The sequence below is a fragment of the Homo sapiens genome, chromosome 9, assembly GCF_000001405.40.
Source record: "Homo sapiens chromosome 9, GRCh38.p14 Primary Assembly".
Lineage (NCBI taxonomy): Eukaryota > Metazoa > Chordata > Mammalia > Primates > Hominidae > Homo > Homo sapiens.
This window is the reverse complement of record NC_000009.12, coordinates 97,862,057-97,864,641: the sequence shown is the minus strand read 5'-3', so window position 1 is coordinate 97,864,641 and position 2,585 is coordinate 97,862,057. Positions and strand designations below refer to the sequence as shown.

At 47.7% G+C, this 2,585-nt stretch overlaps 1 annotated feature.

Moving 5' to 3' along the window:
* Positions 245-2,061: an enhancer, noted in NCBI's record as "VISTA enhancer hs1596". NCBI's record gives its function as "enhancer in: facial mesenchyme[3/11]" and the evidence as "EXISTENCE:transgenic organism evidence [ECO:0001131][PMID:17130149]".

Sequence of the window (2,585 nt, the reverse complement as noted above, 5' to 3'; positions counted from 1 at the left end):
TAACCACAATGAGATACCTCTGCACACTTACCAGGATGATTATAAGAAAACAGAAACAAACAAACAAAACCCCAGAAAATAACAAGTGCTGGTAAGAATGTGGAGAAACTGGAATCCTCATGCATTGCTGGTGGGAATGCAAAATGGTGCAGTAACTATGGGAAAGTTTGGTGGTTTCTCAAAAGATTAAACATAGAGCTGGGCACAGTGGCATGCACCTACTAAGAAGCTCTGGACCCAGACTGCCTGGCTTCAACTATGCTCCCACTGTTTTCTAGTTCATAGTCACTACCTCCGTAGGGGATTTTCGGGGGCACTAAGACTTCTCAGGTATCAAAGCCAGGACTTAAACCAGTGCTTTTCTCACGAAGGCAGACAGCCTCTTGGGAAGCTGCAAAGTATCAACAAAGGTAAGATTTGACGGTTATGAAGAGTACAGCAGGCCGTGGCTCACGCCTGTAATCCCAGCACTTTGAGAGGCTGAGGTGGGCAGATCACCTGAGGTCAGGAGTTCGAGATCAGCCTGGCCAACATGGCAAAACCCCATCTCTACTAAAAATACAAAAATTAGCTGGGTGTAATGGTGGGCGCCTGTAATCCCAGCTACTTAGGAGGCTGACACAGGAGAATCGCTTGAACTCAGAAGGTGTAGGTTGCAGTGAGCCTAGGTCGTGCCACTGCACTCCAGCCTGGACCACAGTGTGAGACTCCATCTCAAAACAAACAAACAAACAAACAAAAAAGAGTACAGCAGAGGCTTCAAGGCTCATTTCGTGCCTGTGTGTAGTCTGCAGGGGGCAGTGGGAGCAGCCTTAGTTTCCTGAGTCTGAATTTAGGAAGAAATTTTCAAAATGAGGCCCAAAACTCCCTTGCTGAGAAAACAAGCCTTCCATCAGGGGATCATTCTCTGGTCTAGCCAAACTTGCAGTTCCGGGAAAGCTGCTTATGTTTATTGTAGTTTGGTTTTGGGTGGAAAGGCTGTTTTGGTTCTAGAGTTTTGCTTTCCTCTTGGCCCAGCTGCAGGCCCAGACGGGTCCTTGTTGGAAGTCAGCCCTCCTCCCCGAAAGGAGGAAAGGCCCTCCTGTCTGTGGTCGGCGGCATTGTACTTGCTGGATTCCAGGCTGTCAGTCTCATGGGTGAGCTCCCGGGATGCTTAGCCTGCAGATTGTTTTGTTAGTTTTTTCCTGCAATTAATTTGGAAATTACCCAGCTACCCACAGCCTCTCCCAGGTGTTCTGTAAACTACAGGCCTGCTCCTGCAGCTTTCGCCTTGGTGGAACCAACCCTGGCTGAAGCTGGGAGGGTTCTGGGTGGGGTGACAGGAGTCCCACAACGGCAGGGCTTGTTTTTAGCAAACGCCAGTTCCCTTCAGCTTGGTCACTAACCATCCTACTTTGTTGGATCCGAAGCAACTGGATCCACACACTCAAAGACACTATCTTTAAGCCTTACATGCCGTATGGAGATAAGCCAGGGGCATATGGAGAATCCACCCTACTCAGAGGCTCGAAGCCAGAGGATTCCCAAGCGCCAGTCAACACTAACAGGTGATTCTCCCAGCCTCCTGATTCCTACATCCAGGGAGGAAGGAGCCTCAGATTTCTGGTTCATTTTACTGAGGATTTGTTACACCCGGGTTGAGGGTTGGTCCCTCCTGTGTGCAACGGTCACATGACTTGAGCTCATTACCCCTTTTCTTGGACCTTAGTTTCCTTGCCTGAAAAGGGTGCATTTGAAACCTTCTGCTTCCCAGGGGAGCTGTGAGGATCCAAAGAGATAACACCTGTGAAAATGGCTGGTACTCCCTGAACAAAGTGGCTTTTGGAAAATGTTGGGATTATTATTAGTTTTGTTCCTGCTGAGCCCCTGGAGCTGTGGAAGGGCCCTGAACTAGGGTCTACAATGATAACTCACTGTTACCTTGGAAAGTTACTTTCTCTGGCTTCTCTTCCATAAAACAAGGGGTAGGGCTAGATAGTCTGTTAGCTGCACATTTATTTATAAGAAGCCAAGAGAAGTCTCAAAGGGAATACATCAAGAATCAGTTTTCCCCTGCCCTTTCATGGTCACTTTCTGTATCAGTTAGGATACATTTGTTTGTTGTTGTTGTTGTTATTGTCATTGTTGTTTTTGAGACAGAGTCTGGCTCTGTCACCCAGGCTGGAGTGCAGTGGTGCGATCTCGGCTTACGGCAACCTCTGCCTCCCGGGTTCAGGTGATTCTCCTGCCTCAGGCTCCTGAGTAGCTGGGATTACAGGCATACACCACCATGCCCTCCCCTATTTTTTGTTAAGACCAAATGAATGTGTTCCAGAAGTCCACAGCAGACTTTCCTGAACATCTCATTGGCCCAGAAAGTATCCTGTACCTGTTTCCAAATCAATCTCTGACAAGAGTGATAGGATAGTGACTGCGCTTACCTTATGCAAGTCAAGATTCACTGCCAAGGGATAAGACACAACCAACTGAAACCTGAACAAAATCAGGGTCTTGCGAGCAAACAAGAAGTGAAGAAAATGGGTGGGTAGACAACTAGCAGTGTCTGGCACACTTTCTTCTCAAAATAAGCTGATATTTATATGGCA